Source organism: Homo sapiens, chromosome 2 (genome assembly GCF_000001405.40).
Source record: "Homo sapiens chromosome 2, GRCh38.p14 Primary Assembly".
Lineage (NCBI taxonomy): Eukaryota > Metazoa > Chordata > Mammalia > Primates > Hominidae > Homo > Homo sapiens.
The window spans coordinates 201,064,270-201,087,185 of NC_000002.12; the positions used below are offsets into that span (position 1 = coordinate 201,064,270).

Sequence of the window (22,916 nt, forward strand, 5' to 3'; positions counted from 1 at the left end):
GAAAGTGTAAAGCATTCCAACAAAGGGTTTTAATGTAGATTTTTTTTTTTGCACCCATGCTGTTGATTGCTAAATGTAATAGTCTGATCGTGACGCTGAATAAATGTCTTTTTTTTTAATGTGCTGTGTAAAGTTAGTCTACTCTGAAGCCATCTTGGTAAATTTCCCCAACAGTGTGAAGTTAGAATTCCTTCAGGGTGATGCCAGGTTCTATTTGGAATTTATATACAACCTGCTTGGGTGGAGAAGCTATTGTCTTCGGAAACCTTGGTGTAGTTGAACTGATAGTTACTGTTGTGACCTGAAGTTCACCATTAAAAGGGATTACCCAAGCAAAATCATGGAATTATTGGTTATAAAAGTGATTGTTGGCACATCCTATGCAATATATCTAAATTGAATAATGGTACCAGATAAAATTATAGATGGGAATGAAGCTTGTGTATCATCCATTATCATGTGTAATCAATAAACGATTTAATTCTCTGGAAAAAAATCTTCTGTGTATCTGCTCATTTAATCCTAACAATTCTTCTTAAAAACTTTTAATTTTGAAATTATAGACTCACAGGAAGTTGCAAAAAAAACTGCCAACAGGTCTCATGTACCCTTTGCCCATTTTCCCTCAATGGGAACACCTTGAATAACTACAGTAAAATATCAAGACCAGGAAATTGACATTGCTACAGTCTACAAAGTTTACTCAGATCTAACCAGTTTTACAAGCACTCATGTATACGTGTGTGTATAGCTCTATGCAATTTTATCACATAGGTAGACTCATGTAATTACCATCACAATCAAGATACAGAACTGTTCTGTCACCAAGACACTCTTGTAGTCCCACCCACTCCCCTCTCCTTGATACCTAAACCATGGCAACCACGAATCTGTTCTCTATCTCTTTATTTTTAGTATTTCAAGAATGTTATATAAATGGAATCATGGAATATGCAATTTTGAGATTTTTTTCACTTGAGACCCATTCAAGTTGTTACATTTTATTAACAGTCCATTCCTTTTTATTGCTGCATAGCAGTCCATGATATAGATGCACTATAGTCTATTTAACCTGTTGAAGAACATTTAGGTTTCCAGTTTTTGGCTATTAGGAATAAAGATGCTATGAGAATTCACACAGGTTTTTATATGAATGTAAGTTTCAGTTTCTCTGGAACAAATGCCCAAGACTGCAATTGTTGGCTTGTATAACTCTATTTCTAAAGATAAGGACACTGAGATGTAAATAGCGGAGCTAGGATTCTAATCTAGATAGTTGCCTCTAGGCCCTAATTCTTCATAATATTTCTAGCAGCTACAGAAATTGAGAGAAGTAAATGGAATCAAAGAAAGAGTAAGAAGGTAAAGTCAACAGAACCTAGCATTGCTCAGATGAAGCGTAAGGGTTAAAGATAGATAACATCAGGGTTCCAGCTCCAGCAGGTTAGAAAGATGACAAAAGGGAAAACATGAATTCACTTTTAAACATATTATAGTTGAAGGACCTGTAGCTCATCTTCATCTAGCAGGCAATTACATGTATAGAATAGGAACTAAAGTTAAAGGGAAAGCTCTGGATTAGAGACACAGATTGAGAACCATCATATTTGGATGCTAATTAAATAAAAAAATCACAGAGTAACAAAGCATAAAATGAGAGAAGATTCAGAACCTTAAGGAACAGAAACATTTGAGTCTTAAGTTTTATATTCATTTCCCCTAGTATTTTCCATAAATAGCAGATACTGTAAAATACTGCAAATTCAAATTAACTTTAGATTTTATAAAAGCCCTTCATGTTTTCTTTTCTTTTTTTTTTTTCTTTGGAGACAGAGTCTCACTTCATCGCCCAGGCTGGAGTGCACACAATCTTGGCTCACTGCAACCTCCACTTCCTAGGTTCAAGCAATTTTCCTGCCTCAGCCATTCCAGTAGCTAGCACTACAGGTGTGCACCACCGTGCCCAGCTAACTTTTGTATTTTTAGTAGAGACAGGGTTTCACCATGTTGGCCAGGCTGGTCTCGAAATCCTGACCTCAAGTGATCTGCTCACCTCGGCCTCCCGAGATGCTGGGATTACAGGCGTGAGCCACTGTGCCCAGCCACTATGTTTTCTATTTGAGTCTTACAGTCACCCTATAATGTAGAAAGGACAGTAGTATACTCTCTCCCATCCCCACACCTTTTTTCATTTAAAAAGTATAAACTAATAAATAAATAAAGAACGAATACACAGATTAAAAAGCCCCAATACAAAAGAATATGGAAAAATTATAACTTTCAGTACCTGCTCAGTATCTAACTTGCCTCTCTCATCCATTTTATATATAATATGGAAAGGAATTTAAGGAGGTTAATTGGCAAGTCTTAGTAGCTAACAAGTCTATATTAATTAAGAATCAGGGAGACTGTTTTCACAAGATAGTGCCGAAGGCGAAAAAGGAAGCTCCTACCCATCTTAAAGCAGAAGCCAAAGCAAAGGCTTTGAAGGCCAAGAAAGCAGTGCTGAAAGGCTGAAAGTAGTCATAAAATATGGTAAGTGGCATCAAACACATACACAAAAAAAGAAGATCCGCAAGTCACCCACGTCCCGGTGGCCCAAGGCACTGCAGCCCCATAGGCAGCCCAAATATCCTTGTAAGATAGCAGGATACAAGGAGAAAGAAGCTTGACCACTATACCATCATCAAGTTCCTGCTGACCAGAGTTCACCATGAAGAAGATAGAAGACAACATATTTGTGTTCATTGTGGATGTTAAAGCCAACAAGCACCAGGTCAAATAGGCTACAAAGAAGCTCCATAACATTGATGAGCCAAGATCAAGACCCTGATCAGACCTGATGAAGAGAAGAAGGCTTATGTTTGACTGGCTCCTGATTATGATGCTTTGGAGGTTGTCAACAAAATTGGGATCATCTAAACTGAGTTCGGCTGGCTAATTCTAAGTATATATATTAGTATCTTCTCACCAGAAAAAAAAAAAGAATCAAGCACTATCAACAGTTAAGTATTCAAAATGACAAAGGTGATGGATAAATTTGATTCTAACACTGTTTGAAGTTTCATGTGTCAAAATAGGACAAAACAGATATTCTGTAAACCATGCTTTGCCATTCAATAAATTGATGCCACTTACCATATTTTATGACCACTTTTTTGGCAGTTATATTTCAAACCTAGAAAGTACTATAATTCTATAAATAATCAAAGTCACACCTCTTAATATATTACATAATTGAGTTTTTATGCTTTTCTCTAAAATTAAAATCTACTCATACTTTTTCTCAGATTTGTCTCCATGGCAGCCAGATACCCAAACAGAAAGTCTAGAATTCACAAAGATGAACCGTAAGTTTCTAAACTGGACCCAAGTCAAGGTAAACATATTTGCAATGCCAACTTTTAGTATATATTACTGAGTGAATGTTAATGCAAAGATTAATGCATATATTCATCATATAGCATTATCAGAAAAGGACCTTGAATTACTCCAACTCTTATTTTCCAATTTTAGTTTAATTCTAGAACTAGATAGCTTTCAGGGACAGTAAGAGAATAGGATATAAATGTCTATACAAATTAGCACAGGTCTGAATCATGAAATAAATTAGTTTGATTTATGGAAAGCAGCTAAGTGCCAAGTAAGAACTAATCCAAACCAAAACATTCAGCACAATTTTCATTTCTGGCAACTCCAGCTCCCGGCTAGAAAAACTATCCTAGCTATGACAGGCTGGGTGCAGTGGCTCACACCTGTAATCCCAGCACTTATGGAGGCCGAGGCAGGCGGATCACCTGACGTCCGGAGTTCGAGACCAGCCTGACCAACTTGGAGAAATCCCGTCTCTACTAAAAAAAATGCAAAATTAGCCGGGCGTGGTGGCACATGCCTGTAATCCCAGCTACTCCGGAGGCTGGGGCAGGAAAATGGCTTGAACCCGGGAGGCAGAGGTTGCTGTGAGCCCAGATCGCGCCACTGCACTCCAGCCAGGGCAACAAAAGTGAAACTACGTCTCAAAAAAAGAAAAAAAAAAGCTATCCTAGCTATGACATGAAATGGTGACAATTTATTGAGCTATAAAAGTATTAGTAAATTAGTAGATTTGGCAGCCCTTTCTCTAAAGCTGAAACTACTGTTACTGCTTCATACCACAAGTGCTAGAGCCTTGAATTAGACCAAGGCACTTCCACTCTGAAGTGGAAGCCAGTGGTGAACCAAATTAATCAAGGGAATTTGTTTCCAAAATACATCTACCCCCTTCACACTCCTCCCATCCGTAAAATTCTGAAGGGAAGTGGAGATGATATAAGTGATATGTGTATGCCTTTTTAAAAACTCCTAAATTGTTTTGAGGTATCTATTTCCAACTCCATGAAGAATTCTTAAATTAGGTCCAAACTTTTTCAAAACACTGTATCTATCACAGGCTTAAGGAGCAGAGCTACAAAGTGACAAGGGCTCAACAGAAGGCTAGGAAGGTAAGGAGCTGTACTCGGAACAGATGTAAGCTACTTTCAGAGCTTTCTGTGCTGGCTCCCTCCAGAATCCACTACATTTTAGTCAGTGATAAATGTTCAGTTCCACATCCCAAGAAAAGAACATAGGCTACTGACCAGATAAAGTGTAAAAAGAAGCAATTCTGGAAATCAAAAAAAAGATAATAAGCCACAGACGATGACAGACAAAAAAATCTTCTGTTCTGGCTTTAAAAGAACAGTAACTCGGAACAAGGATCTCTAAGGGGAAAAAAAAAGAACAATACAAAGTACTGGTATGATAACTAGTTTTGAAACTTCTGCCCATATTTTATCAGTTTTTCACTATGTAGCATTGGTTTTTCTATAAGACTCAGTCAAGCTGAAAATTTCAATCATTCTAGAACTTAATAAACTACTACAAGATGCCAAAACTGTATTGCAAATAATCAAACTTAAATCTGAATTGCATGTCAAGACAGTTAAAGGGCCGGGCTAAAAAACACACTTTCAAGGTCTATTTTAGGGCAAACAATTAAACTCCTTTACAATCATTGTTTCAAATTCCTTATAAACAGCTCCAATACTGAAATGTTTCATCAGAGAGAACTTCTATAACGTATAAACGATCATCTAACCACACTATATGCTAATTTGGACTAGTGTTTCTTTAGCTACTTGGTAATTTCCTACTCGATACTCAACTTACTGCATTCTACAATGACACCTACTGGCCATTCAAAATCAGCCATTAGTTCTCTAAGACAGCTCTAGTAGGCTGGTTACATAAGAAGAAACACACACACACACACACACACACACACACACACACACACACACACGCATAAAAGCAACACACACACACACACGCATAAAAGCAAAGATTTAACTGGTACTCAAAACACTACAGAATTCCACCTAAAATAGAACCAGAAATTTTCTTTGTGACTGAGATTGCATTATTCTTGGAAAAGGAGAAAAGACAAAGAACAAAACACCAAACATCAATAAAAATTTTTATCTAAAGCACTGACAAATGTCTCAGTACTGAGAACATCTGGGAACAAACAACTTTAATGATGCACCTCTTTCCCAATTAAATTTTTGAGAAAAAATGAAATTTTGATTTAGGTTCATATATAGGAATATAAATTACCATTAATAGAAAAAAATCACATCTTATAAAGTTTTTCTGACATGCAGTACCGAAATAAATTTAGGAAAATTGTAGAGTTGCTGACACTACATTAGACCTTATCTCCTAAGCTAAAGGCAATATTTCAAACACCTTACATTTTAGAAATTTATAACACTTCTTTTAAAATCATTTTCCAGTGCTGCTCTCAAAATTGTTTTTCAATGACCTACAAAATCAAGTTTTTATGTCGTTTGCCCTTCCATAACACATACTGAATAGAATTCCTATTTTAATTCTACATTTTATTGTGGAAACAATGAATTATAAAATTTTTTTAAATAAGATAATTTAGTTAATTATATCTATAAATATATTTTGCCTCTGTCCGAGAGGTTCAGAGTCCACTTTTTAAACCTAATAAATAATTCATAAGTAGCTTCTCAGACTTGCTTACAGAACAAACTACTTAAAAGTTGACTTTTTTCTGCCGGGCACGGTGGCTCACGCCTGTAATCCCAGCACTTTGGGAGGCCGAGGCGGGCGGATCATCTGACGTCCGGAGTTCGAGACCAGCCTGACCAACATGGAGAAACCCCGTATCTACTAAAAATACAAAATTAGTCGGGCGTGGTGGCGCATGCCTGTAATCCCAGCTACTCCGGAGGCTGGGGCAGGAGAATGGCTTGAACCCGGGAGGCGAAGGTTGCTGTGAGCCGAGATCGCGCCATTGCACTCCAGCCTGGGCAACAACAGCGAAACTCCGTCTCAAAAAAAAAAAAAGTTTATTTTTTTCCCCATATTCAGACCACCACCTTATTTGCACAGTCCCTAACTTCCACAATATCCTGGGGGGAGGAAGGGATCTACCAACTAATTTTCTAGTCATTTTCCAACTTACACTGAGCTCCTACTGTACATTTTTAAAGGATTCCCCACTTTTCTGAAGATCTTTAAAAAATGTTGTCAGCCTTGACCCTCAAATAAATTCACGAACTACAAAACATGAACCTGGCCACATTCATCGCAAACTAGTATCTGTCAAGTCCATAATTGGGATAAGCTCTTCGTGACTACTCTATCCTCCATGCTACCACCCTTCGCCTAGAGAACCTGCCAATGTAAATGGCACTCAAGCCAATGAAAAAAGTGTTCTAACACATTAATAGGTTGCAAGACCTCCTCTCCCAGGAGGGACAACCTAGTTGTTTGGGTAAATAACAGCCAAAGATTACATAATGTACAGCAATAATGAGTGTTCAGAATCTGACCGCCAGTAAATATTTTTCTTCTCCGCTCCCCCTCACCACCCCCAGGAAATGGCCCTAAGAAGCAATCACTGGGATTTCTCTTAACTGTCTTCAATGCCGTGTCCTTTTCTCGCCTGGGGCTTTGTGCAAAGAATCCCTTCAGCCCTCACGACACCGCCTTGCTCCCGCCTCTCCTCCCTCTCTGCTGGCGCCACCGCAGCCCCCACGCCCTAGGTGGGCCCCCACGTCGCCCCACAAGGCTCGGCTTCCACCCGCCTCGGCTGCCGCCTTCTCCTCCTCACGACCCTCCCAAGATGCTACCTGGTTTACGAGAGGTTCCGGGACCACCAACACACCGGCTACCGCCTTTCCAGACCACCCTCGCCAGCTCCCGTCTGTAGTTTCCGCGGCCGAAGGAGAAGAAAACCCCTCTTCATCTAGCACTTTGCCTCCCCCAAAGACAGCACCGCCGCCTACCTGTCACCCTGCTGTCTCCGGCTTCCTACCGCCGCCGCCTCCCGCAGCAGCCTGCCAACTGCAGCGCAACAACCAACCCTCTCATTGGGTGAGAACACGCTCTCAACAACAGCCTCCCTTATTGGCTGCAGTATGCCGGCAGCCCCGCCCTGTGTGCGGTGTCTAAGGATTCCGTCCCCAAGCAAGGACAACATATTATCTTCCCCGCCCTTCTCTTTTCTACAGTATCTGTTACCTCAGTCAGATTGAGGATGCACATATACTGGGAAAATAATCGACTTCCAGCGTCCCTCATGTAGTCTCTACCTGATTCAGGAATCTCTAACCCAGTATCGGAACGTTAAGCGGCTTCTCCGCTTTCCTGCCGTGAGAAACTCGAGGTGACAACCTCCGTTTCCGGTTGGCTCCGGTTGCAGAGTTGAGTGTCCTGAGAGGTCAGATTGCTGTCAGGTAAATTAGGGAGTTGGTGGGAGGCCCGTTGATTAGGATTAAGAGCTAGACTCTATTCTGGGGAGTGCAGAAAAGGAGAGACTAAATGGAGAAGGATGGGAGGCTGGGAGGGAGATCAAAGAACTAGCAGGCGAGAACTAATGAAGTCCTAGTTTAGAGTTGGGGTAGGAAGAGGTGGTTGGAGGATTCAGTGATCATTACTGTAGTTGTTAAATCCAGGTGCTTGTTCCCGCTTCTGCCACACGCAAAATTGTCTTTGTTTGCCTTTGGATCGCAAAGGCAGAAGAACAGCATCACTAAAAGTAATAACAGTTCATTTGTTTTTTATGTTCTAATATTCATATAATCACAGTTTTTAATACGAGGAAGTTAAGATATATACTTGATAGTCTTCGGTAAACTAAAATTGCATGTAGTGGAAGTAGCATTATCTTCTTATTTCTTTCTTAGGGAAAGGATACCAGCACATTTTCTTAGAGCCAGCTTCCTTTAGTGGAGGTTGATCTTCATGAGACTTTTAGATTCACTTCAGACATAGATAGCTTTTAAAATTTTTGGTTGCATGTTTTTTCTTTATTTAACTAATTTCCTTACTGTTATTATTTGAGCTGCTCTGAAACGGAAATAACCACCATTTTTCAGTCCTCAGCACAATTTAAGTCAATTTTTCTATTTTTATTTTTTATTGTCAAGTATATATACAGAAGGGTGTATAAAACATACATTTTAAAAAATTATAACTAACAGAAGCAGACACTCCTGTATCCACCTCTTAGATTAGAAAATAAAGCATTGCCAATAACTTAGAACATGCAGTCTTAACAGGGGTGATTTTACATTTCAAGGGGTTGAAAATTGGTGGGGCCGGGGTCGGAATCTTAGTTACTACAATGATTTGTGTCCCTCCAAAGGGCCACAGTATATAAACAGTTATACAGTATATATGTAGTGTTAAATTTTCATGGCGGGGGGTGTGATTAGGAATAAAATGTCTAGAAAGGTTCCTTACAGGGACAATAGTTAAAAATTGGTTGAAAAACACTGCCTTAGAATCTCCCAGTATGTTTCTGTGATTCCATCTCCTCCACCAAGAGGTAACCATTATCCTGACTTGTGCTAAGCACTCACTTGTTTTACTTTAATTTTTCCGTCTATGATGAATTCCTAAAAAATGAATTGTTAGGCATTTCAATCTATATAAATGGGTTCAGAGTGCATGTGTATTTTTTTCTGACTCACCCCTTGCTCATTATCCATATTTGTGGAGATTCAATCACACTTTTGCATGTAGTTTTTTGTTGTATAATATTCTACAGTGTGACTATACCATAATCCCTTCTATTGTTATTGGACATTTGGGTTGTTTACAGTTGGGAGAGAGAATAAACAATGTGGCTATAAAGGTTCTTTTAAAAACATATTTCTTAGGCTGGGCACGGTGGCTCACGCCTGTAATCCCAACACTTTGGGTGGCCGAGGCAGGCGGATAATGAGGTCCAGAGATCGAGACCATTCTGACCAACATGGTGAAACCCAGTCTCTACTAAAAGTACAAAAAATTAGCCGGGTGTGGTGGTGCACGCCTGTAATCCCAGCTACTCGGTAGGCTGAGGCAGGAGAATCACTAGAACCTGGGAGGCGGAGGTTGCAGTGAGCCGACATTGCACCACCCACTGCACTCCAGCCTGGCGACAGAGTGATACTCCATCTCAAAAAAAAAATTTGTTTTTTTTTAAAGACTAGAGGCTTGATGTCTCTAAGAAAATATTTTAAATATATTTTTTATATTCCATAAATATAAACCTTTGATCTGTGATTATGTTTATAAGATTTACAGTTGATAAAGTAGATTCATATATCCAAATTGTTCCAAAGACACTTTTATTTATTTATTTTATTTGTATATTTTTTGAGACAGAGTCTCGCTCTGTCGCCCAGGCTGGAGTGCAGTGGCGCGATCTCGGCTTAGTGCAATCTTCACCTCCCAGGTTCAAGTGATTCTTCTGTCTCACCCTCCCTAATAGCTGGAACTACAGGCATGTGCTACCATGCCCAGCTAATTTTTTTATTTTTAGTAGAGACGGGATTTTGCCATGTTGGTTAGGCTTTTCTTGAACTCCTGACCTCAGGTGTTCCACCTGCCTCAGCCTCCCAAAGTGCTGGGATTACAGGCGTGAGCCACCGCTCCTGGCCTCCAAAGACACATTAATATTTTCTAATAACGATTTGATCATCTGTTTTGAGATTAAGTTAATTAAAATTAAATTAAAATTCCCAGTTCCCAACTGCACCAGCCACATTTCAAGTGCTAGTGGCTACCATATTGGACAGTGTCTATCTAGAATATATGTACTAGGAGTGGAATTGATGGCCATAAGGTATTCATATGTTCAGCTTTTTTTTTTTTTTTTTTTTGAGATAGAATCTCACTCTGTCACCCAGGCTGGAGTGCAGTGGCGCAATCTCGGCTCACTGCAACCTCCACCTCCTGGGTTCAAGTGATTCTCATTCCTCAGCCTCCTGAGTAGCTGGGACTACAGGTGTGTGCTACCACACCTGGCTAATTTTTGTATTTTTAGTAGAGACAGGGTTTCCCCATGTTGGCCAGGCTGGTCTCAACTCCTGGCCTCAAGTGATCCACCTGCCTTGGCCTCCCAAATTGCTGGGATTACAGGCGTGTGCCACTGCGCCCAGCCATGTTCAGCCTTTCTAGGTCTTGCCAGTTTTTCAGAATGGTTGTGCTTAGTTACATTCTCACCACCTAAGTATGAAAGTAGAAGGCACATCACAATGTGTTTTCCTCAGCTCTCACGATCTTGCAAGGTAGGTTTTATCTTCATGTTATATGAAGAAACTGAAGTTCAGGGAAATTAAGTGATTTGCCTTGGATTTTACTTTTACTAGTGCAAAGTAGGAGAATTTCAAGCTCTTACTTTACAGGTCACGATATCATTGTTTGATTTATGGCTATTTGGAAATAGAAATAAGTTTAAAAAGAAAAATGGGCCAGGTGCCATGGCTCACGCCTGTAGTCCCAATATTTTAGGAGGCCAAGGAGGGAGGAATGCTTGAGGCCAGGAGTTCAACAGCAGCCTGGGCAACATAGGAAGATCCTGTCTGAAAAAAAAAAAAAAAAGAAAAAGAAAAAAGAAAATGAAAGGTTTCCTAGAGAAAGTGTTTTCAACTTTCTGCTCTTTTTGAAAAGTCATTTATATGTTATATTTAGCCGGGCACCGTGGCTCATGCCTGTAATCCCAGCACTTTGGGAGACCCAGGTGGGCGGATCACAAGGTCAGGAGATCGAGACCATCCTAGCTAACACGGTGAAACCCCATCTCTACTACAAAATGCAAAAAATTAGCCAGGCGTGGTGGGGGGTTCCTGTAGTCCCAGCTACTCGGGAGGCTGAGGCAGGAGAATTGCTTGAACCTGGGAGTCACAGGTTGCAGTGAGCCAAGATTGCGCCACTGTACTACAGCCTGGGCGACAGAGCGAGACTCTGTCTCAAAAAAAAAAAAAAAAAAAAAAGGTATATTTAGTAAATTCCTATGAAAAGGATACTTCTGAAATAATTAGGTAGAAGAGAAAATACATTGAATGTATTTAAATAAACTTGTATAGGAGAAATGAGGGTATGTACGCTTTCATGTTTTCTTTCAAAGATTTATCTTTCAAATTACTTGTTTAAGCACAGTAGTATTGTAATTTTGAAATAGTCTTTATACCATGGTAATGTTTCAAGTTTTATTTTCAAAAACTATTCTATCAAAATTCTTGACCCTTTGTTTTATACTCTCTTCCAAATACACTGATACTCAGGTTGATATTCTAGAATTGACATTTGCCAAAATAAGGGTTTGTCTTGTTTTAAGTGTTTTTAAAATGAAGCCTTATTTTAAAAAAGATTTTTTGAAAACATGGTATGCAGAAGCCAAGACATTATCATTCTAAATAAACACTTGTAATGGTCTTCGTTTGTAATAAATGTATTCAGTCTCAAAAGTCAGTCTGAAGTCTGACACCATAATTTTTTTCCTTCATTTTATTGAATCTACCAAGTAATAATGGGTTAAATGTTTCATTCAGAGTTGTGTTGTAATTTTAACTTGTGTTTGAGAGTATCGGTTTTCATTTTCATTTTCATTTAAATGTGAAAATCCTCCTGGGTGTGGCTGTAATCCCACTGTAATCCCAGCATTTTGGGAGGCCTATGCCAGAGGATCAAGGATCACTTGAGGCCAGGAGTTTGAGACCAGCCTGCACAACATAGGGAGGGTCCATCGCTATAAAACATTTAAAAACTAGCCAGGCGTTGTGCACACTCCAGTCCTAGCTACTCAGGAGGCTGAGGCAGGACAATCACTTGAGCCCAGGAGTTTGAGGCTGCAGTGAGCTATGATCCAGAGCAAGACCCTCTATCTTTAAATATATATATATATATATATATATATATAATTAAATGTGAAAATCATCAACATAATGTTTTTTAGTATCTTAACATGTTTACAAATAATAAGTGTTGGTTTTTCACAGTTAGTATGTACAATTTTTTTCTCATATCTTGGAACTACTTATTTTTTGAGAGAGTCTCACTCTGTCGCCCAGGCTGGAGTGCAGTGGCACCATCTTGGCTCACTGTAACCTCTGCCTTCTGGGTTCAAGCGATTCTCATCCCTCAGCCTCCCAATAATGTGTCTTTAATATACACTTTTTAATAATTACCTCTCTCTTCTGAGATGCAATGTAAGAATTCCTACCAGGCCAGGCACAGTGGCTCACGCCTGTAATCCCAGCACTTTGGGAGGCGGAGGCGGGCAGATCACCTGAGGTCAGGAGTTCGAGACCAGCCTGACCAACATGGGGAAACTCCATCTCTACTAAAAATGCAAAATTAGCCGGGCATGGTGGCGCATGCCTGTAATCCCAGCCACTCAGGAGGCTGAGGCAGGAGAATCGCTTGAACCCAGGAGGCGGAGGTTGCAGTGAGCCGAGATTGCACACCATTGCACTCCAGCCTGGGCAAAAAGCAAAACTCCATCTCAAAAACAAAAGAAAAGAAAAGAAATCCTACCTTATTGGGCCTGTTCATAGTTATAAATATGGACATAATGGTAATATTTACTTGATTTTACTTCCGGAAAAGCAGTGATTATAGAATTGCTACTGCTTGCCAAGTAATTAGAAAAATAAAAATGTAAAAAAAAATAAAAGGATTGCTACTGCCAACCTTACACAAATTATAGTATAGTGTTACTAAGCCATACCCCTTAATTTGAATTAGCAATTTAAATGAGGACTGAGCTGGTTTATTTTTATATTATATATTAAAATAACACTAGTAAAACCAAAGTATTTATATAACCATTGAGGACATGTTTTAATTAAGGAAGCAAATTTATTGATTAAAAAGGAGTCCTAAGGTATCTGTTGGCCCAGTTCAGGGATCGGCAAACTGCAGCCTGTGGACCAAATCCAGCCCAGTGCCTGTTTTTGTAAGGTCCATGAGCTAAGAATGGTTTTTACAAATGAACATTTGTAATGACTTTGATGCTAAGGATCACTAACTTTGAGCTCCAGTTAAGTAGAATGTTACCCCCAAAAGGGGAGTTCCATTTTTTTCGTCAGTAGACCTGTATTACAAAAAAATTTGTAGTCAGTTACTTACTACATTTTGAATTTTATCAATAAGGTATTTGCGGTAGTGTGTTTTCTCTTCCTATAAATGTACCTACATAATTGCCTCAATTTTACCTCTTTTACCCACAAAGCCTAAAATATTTACGATCTGCCTCTTTAAAGAAACCTTTCATGTAATCATATGTATTTAAAAGCATTGCATTTTAAAAGAATCATCTAAAGAAAATTTTTAAAACAGGATGTATAACCTTTTTATTATACATATTTATGCATTATGAAAGGATTCAAAAGGAAAACAATATTGCTTAGAAGTTAGGAGCAGGGGGCCGGGTGCGGTGGCTCACACTTGTAATCCCAGCACTTTGGGAGGCTGAGGTGGGTGGATCACGAGGTCAGGAGATTCAGACCATCCTGGCTAACATGGTGAAACCCCGTCTCCACTAAAATTACAAAAAATTAGCCGGGCGTGGTGGCGGGCACCTGTAGTCCCAGCTACTCGCCAGGCTGAGGCAGGAGAATGGCGTGAACCCGGGAGGCGGAGCTTGCAGTGAGCCAAGATTGCACCACTGCACTCCAGCCTGAGCGACAGAGCGAGACGCCGTCTCAAAAAATAAGAAGAAGAAGAAGTTAGGAGCAGGGTTCTAAAACCAAACTGCAAGGTTCTAATCCCAGCTGTACCATTACTATTTTTGTTACCTTTGGAAAGTTACTTAATTGCTTGGAGTCTCATTGTCCTCATCTGTAAAATGGGGATACTCATTATTTAAGTTCAAAGAGTTGTTTTAGAGGTAATGGAGTTAATACACATAAAGCATTTTAGCATATGTTTACTATTTATAAAGAGTTGTTTTAGAGGTATTGGAGTTAATACACATAAAGCATTTTAGCAAATGTTTACTATTATTATAATGAAGAAAAGAACCAGATAGTAAATGGTTATCTCTGAGTGATGAGATTGCCAATTATTTTTCTTTTTTATATTTTGTGTATGTGTATTTCCTAACTGTGAACATGGTTGTAGAATAAGACACTTTTATAAAATCCTTTAACTGGAATTTTCAAGTATTTATATTGGCTTTTTTTTTTAATATTAAATGCTTTACCTTAAAACATAAACAATAAATTTGGGTATTTGATATCTACAATTTGCATATTTCTCACTTGTGTTAATCTTTTCCTTACAGACATGGCCCATGAACATGGACATGAGCATGGACATCATAAAATGGAACTTCCAGATTATAGACAATGGAAGATAGAAGGGACACCATTAGAAACTATCCAGAAGAAGCTGGCTGCAAAAGGGCTAAGGGATCCATGGGGCCGGTAAGATGAATTAAGTAATTTAGATAGAATGTATCCTAGAGAATCAAGTGTCTATGTTGCTTTTCAATGTATTCTCCTTAGAGAATCATGAAAAATGGCTTTTTACTTTAAAGGGTTTTTTTTGGTTTTTGTTTTGTTTTTGAGACGGTGTCTTGCTGTGTTGCCAGGCTGGAGTGCAGTGGCGCGATCTCAGCTCACTGCAGCCTCCGCCACCCGGGTTCAAGTGATTCTCTTGCCTCAGCCTCCCAAGCAGCTGGGATTACAGGCACGCGCCACCAAGCCCAGCTACTTTTTGTGTTTTTAGTAGAGACGGGGTTTCACCATGTTGGCCAAGATAGTCTCGATCTCCTGACCTCGTGATCCACCTGCCTCAGCCTCCCGAAGTGCTGGGATTACAGGCATGAGCCACCACGCCTGGCTACTTTAAAAGTTTTTGGTTTGTTTTGAGACAGGGTCTCACTCTGTCACCCAGACTGGAGTGCAGTGGTGCGCTCACAGCAACCTCCATCTCCCAGGCTTAAGCAATCCTCCCACTCCAGCCTCCCTAGTAGCTGAGACTACAGGCATGGGCCACCATGCCCAGCTAATTTTTATATTGTTAGTAGAGACAGGGTTTTGCCATGTTGCCCGGGCTAGTCTCAAATTCCTGAGGTGAAGTGATCTGCCCACCTTGGCCTCCCAAAGTGTTAAAATTACAGGCATGAGCCGCTACACCTAGCCACATTAAAATTTTAAAATCGACTTTATTGAGCTATCGTTTATATATAGTAAAATTCACCTGTTTTGAGTGTAAGTCCTTTATCAGATAAAAGTTTTGTGGTGCTTGCTTCAGAAACATATATACTAAAATTGTAATACAGAGAAGTTAGTATGGCCCTGTGCAAGGATTTAAAACAATTTTTTTTAAGGTTTGCAAATGTTTTTTCTCACAGTGTGGCTTATCTTTTTATTTTCTGAATAATGTCTTTCAGAGAGTTTTAAATTTTGATGAATTCACAATTTAGCAATTTTTAAATTTTACAATGTATCCTTTTTGCACCCTAAGATTATCTTCTATGCTTTCTTTTAGAAGCTTTTATAGTTCTTCTTACATTCTGTGATCTGTTTTGAGTTCATTTTTGTGTCATATGAAGTAAGGATGAAGATTAGTATTTTTACATATGTGCATCCAGTTGCTCCAGCACCATTTATTAAAAAATTATTGTACCTCCGTTGAATTACCTTAATAATGTTGTCAAAAATCCATTGAGTGATTTTTGACACTCAATGTGGGTGGTGGCTCGCACCTATAATTCCAGCACATTGGGAAGCCAAGGCAGGCGGATCGCTTGAGCCCAGGATTTTGAAACCAGCCTAGGCAGTACAGGGAGACTTTGTCTCTACAAAAAAATTTTAAGAATTGCCAGATGTGATGACACACACATGTAGTCCCAGCTACTCAGGAGGCTGAGGTGGGCAGATCACTTGAGCCCAGGATGTCCAGGCGGCAGTGAGCCAAGATCTGGCCACTGCACTCCAACCTGGGCAACAGAGAGAGACCTTGCCTCAAGAAAAAAAAATCAATTGACTGTATCTATGGGATCTATGTCTGGACTGTACTCTGTTACCCTCATTAATATGTCCACCCTTATGCCAATACCACAGTGTCTTTAAATTACATAGCATAAGATCTCCAACTTTTTTTTTTTTTTTTTTTTTTTGAGACAGAGTCTCACTCTGTCACCCAGGCTAGGGTGTGGTGGCTCAATCTGGCTCGCTGCCAGCTCCACCTCCCGGGTTCACGCCATTCTCCTGCCTCAGCCTCCTAAATAGCTGGGACTACAGGTGCCTGCCACCATGCCCTGCTAATTTTTTGTATTTTTAGTAGAGACGGGGTTTCACCGTGTTAGCCAGGATGGTCTGGATCTCCCGACCTCATGATCCACCCGCCTCAGCCTCCCAAAGTGCTGGGATTACAGGCATGAGCCACCGTGCCCAGCCAAGATCTCCAACCTGTAAAAAATTGTTTTAGCTATTCTAGGTCCTTTGCTTTTACATATAAACTTTGGAATGAACCTGACAATTTCTATTAAAATCCCTGCTTGGATTTTAATTGGGATCACATTGAATCTGTTTCACATAGATTCACAATGGGAATCTATTTCACATCCACATTGAATCAGATTCCCATCAATTTAGGGGCCAGGCATGGTGGCTCACACCTGTAATTCCAGCACTTTGGGAGGCCGAGGCGGGTGGATCACTTAAGGTCAGGTGTTCGAGACCAGCCTGGGCAACATGGGAAACCCTGTCTCTACTAAAAATACAAAAATTAGCCAGGTGTGGTAGTGGGTACCTGTAATCCCAGCTACTCAGGAGGCTGAGACAGGAGAATCACTTGAACCCGCGAGGCTGAGGTTGCAATGAACCAAGATCGTGCCACTGCACTCCAGCCTGGGCAACAGAGTAAGCTTCCATCTTAAAGAAAACAAAAAATTTAGGGATAAGTGATGTCTTAACAATATTAAGTCTTCTAGTCAATGGGCAATTTAGGTCTTGTTCATTTTATCAGCAGTATTTTATTGCTTTACGTACAGGTCTTGCACATATTTTATTAAATTTATACTGAATTAATTATTTATTTTATTTTATTTTATTTTTCTGGGAGACAGAGTCTCACTGTGTCACCCAGGCTGGAGTGCAGTGGCACAATCTTGGCTTACTGCAACCTCTGCCTCCTGGGTTTAAGCAATTCTCCTGCCTCAGCCTCCTGAGTAGCTGGGATTACAGACGTGCACCACCACGCCCAGCTAATTTTTTTTTTTTTTTTTTGAAATGGAGTCTCGCTCTGTCACACAGGCTGGAGTGCAGTGGCACGATCTCCGCTCACTGCAAGCTCCGCCTCCTGGGTTCACACCATTCTCCTGCCTCAGCCTCCCGAGTAGCTGGGACTACAGGCGCCCACCACTATGCCCGGCTAATTTTTTGTATTTTTTAGTAGAGATGGGGTTTCACTGTGTTAGCCAGAATGGTCTCGATATCCTGACCTCATGATCCACCCACCTCAGCTTCCCAAAGCGCTGGGATTACAGGCATGAGCCACCGCGCCAGGCCTAATTTTTGTATTTTTTTGGTAGAGATGGGGTTTCACCATGTTGGCCAGGCTGGTCTTGAACTCATGACCTCAAGTGATCCGCTCGCCTCAGCCCCCCAAAGTGCTAGGATTACAGGTTTGAGCCATCAGGCCTGGCGTTGTTTGTTTGTTTGTTTGTTTGTTTGTTTTGGGAGATGGAGTCTCCGTCGCCCAGGATGGAGTGCAATGATGCCGTTTTGGCTCATTGCAGCCTCTACCTCGTGGGCTGAAATCATCCTCCCACCTCAGCCTCCCGAGTAGCTGGGACTACAGGTGCATGCCGCCATGCCCAGCTAATTTTTGTATTTTTTGTTGAGACGAGGTTTTCCTGTGTTGCCCAGGCTGGTCTCAAAATCCTGAGCTCATGTGATTTGACCACCTCAGCCTCTCAGAGTGCTGGAATTACAGATCTGAGCTACAGCACCCAGCTTGAATTATTTTAATTTTTGATGCTATTGTAAATAGTATTTTAAAATCTCAACTTCCAGTTGTTCATTGCTAATACTTGTAAACACAGTTGACTTTTATATGTTGAGTTTATATCTTGTTACCTTGCTAAATTCACTTTTTTTTTTTTTTTTTTTTTTTTTGAGACGGAGTCTCACTCTGTCGCCCAGGCCGGACTGCGGACTGCAGTGGCGCAATCTCGGCTCACTGCAAGCTCCGCTTCCCGGGTTCACGCCATTCTCCTGCCTCAGCCTCCCGAGTAGCTGGGACTACAGGCGCCCGCCACCGCGCCCGGCTAATTTTTTGTATTTTTAGTAGAGACGGGGTTTCACCTTGTTAGCCAGGATGGTCTCGATCTCCTGACCTCATGATCCACCCGCCTCGGCCTCCCAAAGTGCTGGGATTACAGGCGTGAGCCACCGCGCCCGGCCGCTAAATTCACTTTTTAGTTCAAGTAGATTTTTTTTACAGATTTCTTAGAATGTTCTTCATAAACAATCATTCTGTCTACAAATACATTGTTACTTCTTCCTTTTCAATCTGTAAACTTTTTATTTCTTTTTCTTGCATTTTTGTACTGGCTAACACCACTACTATAATGTTGAATGAAAGTGGTGGACGTCCTTGCCTTATTCCCAACTGGGAGAAAACATTTGGTGGGTCACCACTTAGTATGATGTTTCTTACAGTGATCTCCTAGGTGCCTTTTATCAAGATGAGGAATTTCTCTCTATTTCTAGATTACTAAGTGTTTCATTGTTTATTATTTCTTTTTTTTTTTTTTTTTTTTGAGACAGAGTTTTGCTCTTGTTGCCCAGGCTGGAGTGCAATGGCGAGATCTTGGCTCACCGCAACCTCTGCCTACCAGGTTCAAGCGATTCTCCTGCCTCTGCCTCCCGAATAGCTGGGATTACAGGCATGTGCCACCACACCCGGCTAATTTTGTTTTTTTAGTAGAGACTAAAACGTTGGCCAGGCTGGTCTCAAGCTCCCGACCTCAGGTGATCCACACGCCTCGACCTCCCAAAGTGCTGGGATTACAGGCCTGAGCCACCGTGCCCATCCTGTTATTACCATTAATGGATATTGGATTTTGTTAAATGCTTTTTCTGCATCTATTGAGATGTTCATAGTTTTTCCTTTTTATTCTGTTAATATGGCGAGTTACTTCTATTAATTTTCAAATATAAACAAATCTTGCATTCCTGGAGTGAACCCTACTTCATTATGATGTATTACCATTTTTATATGCTGTCGGATTCAGTTTTCTAAAATTTTGTTAAGAATATTTGCACCAGGTGTGGTGGCTAATGCCTGTAATCCCAGCACTTTGGGAAGCCAAGGCAGGCGGATCACTTAAGGCTGGAAGTTTGAGACCAGCCTGGCCAACATGGCAAAACCCTGTCTCTACTAAAATTACAAAAATTGGCCGGGCGCGGTGGCTCATGCCTGTAATCCCAGCACTTTGGGAGGCCGAGGTGGGTGAATCACAAGGTCAGAAGTTCGAGACCAGTGTGGCCAACATAGTGAAACCCCGTCTCTACTAAAAATACAAAAAATTAGCTGGATGTGGTGGTGTGCGCCTATAATCCCAGCTACTGGGGAGGCTGAGGCAGGAGAATCCCGTGAACCCAGGAAGTGAAGGTTTCAGTTAGCCAAGATCGTACCATCGCACTCCAGCCCAGGCGACAGTGCGAGACTCCATCTCAAAAAAAAAAAAAATACAAAAATTAGTCAGACATGGTGGCGGGCACCTATAATCCCAGCTACTCAGGAGGCTGAGGCAGAGAATTGCTTGAACCTGGGAGGCAGAGGTTGCAGTAAGCTGAGATCACACCACTGCACTCCAGCCTGGGCAACAGATTGAGACTCTGTCATAAATAAATAAACAAACAAACAAACAAAAATTAGCGGGCATGGTGGTGTGTGCCTGTAATCCCAGCTACTTGGGAGGCTGAGGTGGAAGAATCACTTGAATCCAGAAGGTGGAGGTTGCAGTGAGCTGAGATTGTGCCACTGCTCTCTAGCCTCAGTGACAGAGCAAGACTCCATCCGCCCCCGCCAAAAAAAGAATATTTGCATCTATGTTCATGAGGGATAGTATTCTGTAGCTGCTTTTCTTCTAACATCTTTGTCTGGTTTTGGTATCCCAATTAGATTTAATTAGCTCTCGTATTTCCTAAGTCATATTTCTAGAGTTAAATAGTTTTTGTTTTTCATAACATGATTTTTTCATTGGCTTGTCCTTATCAGACCAGAGCAGGGTATCAATCTTCCAAAATTCAGGCTGCTATGGTAGGGAGAAGCAGAGATCCTTTTGAATAGTAACAGTAATGTCAAGTGTTACATACTCCATACTCCTCTGCCAAAATATATCATGCATGAGCCTGTTTAGTCTTTATGATATTATAAAGTAGATAATAATCATCATTGAATAGAACAGGAAGCAGACCATGACAGGCTAAGCATCTTGCCCAGCCTACAAGATTGTGAATCTAATATAAGTGGCATACCAAAGATTAATACCAAGTCTCTAACTTCATCTTTCCGTGATGTTGTAATGACTAGTGTGGGCAGAGCCCATCTGACCTGTGACAGATAAGCTGACGTGAGTCTTGCATTTGAGGGTTCTGTAAAATCCTGAGGCATATGACTATTAAATGTGAAACCATCAAGTGTTTATTCTTCTATTTTATATGTGAAACTTGGGCATATACTTAATTATCCTATGCCACAGAAAGATTCCTATTGCGATTCACTTAAATGATCTTCTGTAGGGTAGCATTTAAGTCAATTAGAAAGATGAAAATTAAATGTCTTCAACGTATATACACACACGTTGTGTATGATTATAATTTTTTCTTTTTTTTTTTCTAGCAATGAAGCTTGGAGATACATGGGTGGCTTTGCAAAGAGTGTTTCCTTTTCTGATGTATTCTTTAAAGGATTCAAATGGGGATTTGCTGCATTTGTGGTAGCTGTAGGAGCTGAATATTACCTGGAGTCCCTGAATAAAGATAAGAAGCATCACTGAAGATAATACCTGGAAGCATCATAGTGGTTTCTTAACTCTCCAAAATAAGATTTCTTCTCTGTAGCCTACTTGTCTGGTTTATCCCTTACAGAATATTAGTAAGATTTAATCAATTAAAATATATATATATGCCAATCTGCTTTTGTCATTCTTAAAAAAAAAAAAGTGTCTCAAGCCATATCAGATTTGGTTTAGAATACATAGGGGGTTGGAGAACAGCAGTAGTGCGTTCTGCATATAGCAGGCAGGCATCATATATTTGGCTGAGCAAATGGGCATGTTCTAAGAAGTTTTTTTTTAATCTTTTTCTTTTTTTTTTTTTAACTAGTCCTGACCTAGCTGGCACTAACAAGTATTTAAATGGGAGTTGGCCTTGCTGTTTTTTTTTTGAGATGGAGTCTCGCTCTGTCACCCAGGCTGGAGTACAGTGGCGTGATCTCGGCTCACTGCAAGCTCTGCCTCCCGGGTTCACACCATTCTTCTGCCTCAGCCTCTCAAGTAGCTGGGACTACAGGCGCCCGCCACCATGCCCAGCTAATTTTGTTTTTGTATTTTCAGTAGAGACAGGGTTTCACCGTGTTAGTCAGGATGGTCTCGATCTCCTGACCTTGTGATCCACCCGCCTCAGCCTCCCAAAGTGTTGGGATTACAGGCGTGAGCCACCGCGCCTGGCTGGCCTTGCTGCTTTTATCATCCTCTTCAGATGGTTTAGAGGAACCCAGATTCTACTGCCCTTTTCTGGCTGACACATCCATGTATCATGTTCATTTTTCTTAATTGTGGTATTTTGTGGTATTTTCTACTCTTGCTTAGTCCTCTTAGTCCTTAGTCCTCATTGTTCTTATGTCATGAAAAACCTTACATTTTTTTCTTCTTTTTTTTGTTTTTTGAGATAGGGTTTTGCTCTGTCACCCAGACTGGAGTGCAGTGGGAGAGTGATCTTGGCTCACTGCAACCTCAGCCTCCCTGGGCTCAAGGGATCCTTCCACCATACCAGGCTATCTTTTTGTATTTTTAGTAGAGGTGGGGTTTCGCCTTGTTGCCCAAGCTGGTCTCAAACTCCTGGGCTCAAATGATCTACTTGCCTCAGCCTCCCAAAGTGCTGGGATTACAGGCATGACCCACCGCGCCTGACCTTTTTCTGTATTTCTAACAATAAACTAGACATTCTCCATGCCTGTAATCCCAACACTTTGGGAGGCTGAGGTGGGCAGATCACTTGAGCTCAGGAGTTGCAGACCAGCCTGGCCAACATGGTGAAACGCCAACTCTACTAAAAAAACAAAAATTAGCCAGACGTGGTGGCGGGCACCTGTAATCCCAAGTACTTGGGAGGCTGAGGCAGGAGAATCACTTGATCCCAGTAGGCAGAGGTTCCAGTGAGCCAAGATCACGCTACTGCACTCCAGCCTGGGTGACAGAGCACGACTCTGTCTCCGAAAAAACAAACAAAAAAAATAGATGTAACACTTATTGAGGAGGGGTGATAATTTTGTTTAAATAATGAAACAGAGAAAATCCCAATGTGAATTTTTTTCTTTTCTTTTTTTTTTTTTTTGGTTTGAGAATG

General features: G+C 40.7%; 2 protein-coding genes and 2 pseudogenes across 21 annotated transcripts in view, besides 5 other annotated features; 3 read left to right on the forward strand and 1 right to left on the reverse strand.

Moving 5' to 3' along the window:
* The window catches only part of HYCC2 (hyccin PI4KA lipid kinase complex subunit 2), a 97,954-nt gene extending 90,552 nt beyond the window's left edge, over positions 1-7,402 (reverse strand). For 10 of the 17 annotated variants that reach the window (NM_001321621.2, XM_006712443.4, NM_001321619.2 and 7 more), the window contains exon 1: positions 7,185-7,402. The gene's annotated coding sequence lies outside the window, so the exon portion shown is untranslated. The remainder of the gene's footprint in view (positions 1-7,184) is intronic. The other 7 variants (NM_001321618.1, NM_001321624.1, NM_173822.5 and 4 more) reach the window with 1 other exon arrangement.
* RPL23AP30 (ribosomal protein L23a pseudogene 30) lies at positions 2,551-2,973 on the forward strand (annotated as a pseudogene).
* Positions 6,875-7,014: an enhancer, noted in NCBI's record as "active region_16971". NCBI's record gives its function as "activates an Ori minimal core promoter by ATAC-STARR-seq in GM12878 lymphoblastoid cells {active_cell/tissue: GM12878}" and the evidence as "EXISTENCE:reporter gene assay evidence [ECO:0000049][PMID:35858748]".
* Positions 7,005-7,630: an enhancer, noted in NCBI's record as "NANOG-H3K27ac hESC enhancer chr2:201935997-201936622 (GRCh37/hg19 assembly coordinates)". NCBI's record gives its function as "activates a minimal SCP1, AML or CMV promoter by ChIP-STARR-seq in primed H9 embryonic stem cells {active_cell/tissue: H9 hESC(primed)}" and the evidence as "EXISTENCE:reporter gene assay evidence [ECO:0000049][PMID:30033119]".
* Positions 7,115-7,384: an enhancer, noted in NCBI's record as "active region_16972". NCBI's record gives its function as "activates an Ori minimal core promoter by ATAC-STARR-seq in GM12878 lymphoblastoid cells {active_cell/tissue: GM12878}" and the evidence as "EXISTENCE:reporter gene assay evidence [ECO:0000049][PMID:35858748]".
* Positions 7,405-7,494: an enhancer, noted in NCBI's record as "active region_16973". NCBI's record gives its function as "activates an Ori minimal core promoter by ATAC-STARR-seq in GM12878 lymphoblastoid cells {active_cell/tissue: GM12878}" and the evidence as "EXISTENCE:reporter gene assay evidence [ECO:0000049][PMID:35858748]".
* Positions 7,631-8,254: an enhancer, noted in NCBI's record as "NANOG-H3K27ac hESC enhancer chr2:201936623-201937246 (GRCh37/hg19 assembly coordinates)". NCBI's record gives its function as "activates a minimal SCP1, AML or CMV promoter by ChIP-STARR-seq in primed H9 embryonic stem cells {active_cell/tissue: H9 hESC(primed)}" and the evidence as "EXISTENCE:reporter gene assay evidence [ECO:0000049][PMID:30033119]".
* NDUFB3 (NADH:ubiquinone oxidoreductase subunit B3) lies at positions 7,732-21,481 on the forward strand. Of its 4 annotated transcripts, none has more exons than XM_047444488.1 (4): positions 7,732-7,790; positions 8,010-8,884; positions 14,612-14,753; positions 21,190-21,481. In XM_047444488.1, the coding sequence occupies exons 3-4, from the start codon at positions 14,614-14,616 to the stop codon at positions 21,344-21,346; spliced, it is 297 nt and encodes a 98-aa protein (XP_047300444.1). In that variant the 5' UTR covers positions 7,732-7,790; positions 8,010-8,884; positions 14,612-14,613; the 3' UTR covers positions 21,347-21,481. The 4 variants fall into 4 exon arrangements, with proteins under 4 accessions (XP_047300444.1, XP_011509532.1, NP_001244031.1 ...); XM_011511230.4 differs by having other exon boundaries at positions 8,010-8,092; NM_001257102.2 differs by having other exon boundaries at positions 8,070-8,092.
* RNU6-1206P (RNA, U6 small nuclear 1206, pseudogene) lies at positions 15,573-15,675 on the forward strand (annotated as a pseudogene).